Consider the following 619-nt stretch of genomic DNA (forward strand, 5'->3'; position numbering starts at 1 on the left):
TGTTCTAGATGGTTGGGGGAAAACAATGATTGCTTACAAGTTACAGGTAAACTAGAATTTAAACATTGAGAAATATGAAAATACTATCTAAAGAAATCCTTAAAACTTTAGGTAGATCTAATTGTAAAAGCCTATAATGGGCTGTGTTTAATAATTAGGACAAAACTAGCACAAAAGTTATGAGGTCAAAGTGGACATTGTGCTAGAACACAGTTATACAGTTATGAAACCTGAATAAATTAATCTAAGAATGTATCTGGTAAAATAAGGCAGAACTTATTGTGTAGTAATAGGCACTTCTGAGAACTCAAAAAAAAAAAACATATTGCAATGTTATTAGGAAAATCTACTTTGAAATTAAGCAAGCTACTGGAATTTTTCAGAATGTTTATTTACTTGATATTTTTGAGTTTGTAAGTAAACTTTCACCCTTTTATTCTGAGATAAAGAATAGGTAGTCACTGAAGTTTATAGTAATGATAGTAAAACAAAAATACAAGATATTAGTCACATGAACCAATGAAGTAGAACAGAGAGAAGATAAATAATCCACTCACATATCAAGTGACTTTTTTTATAAGACTGCTGTGATGGTTAGTCTTATGTGTAAACTTGACTG

This window comes from Homo sapiens, chromosome 7 (assembly GCF_000001405.40).
Source record: "Homo sapiens chromosome 7, GRCh38.p14 Primary Assembly".
Lineage (NCBI taxonomy): Eukaryota > Metazoa > Chordata > Mammalia > Primates > Hominidae > Homo > Homo sapiens.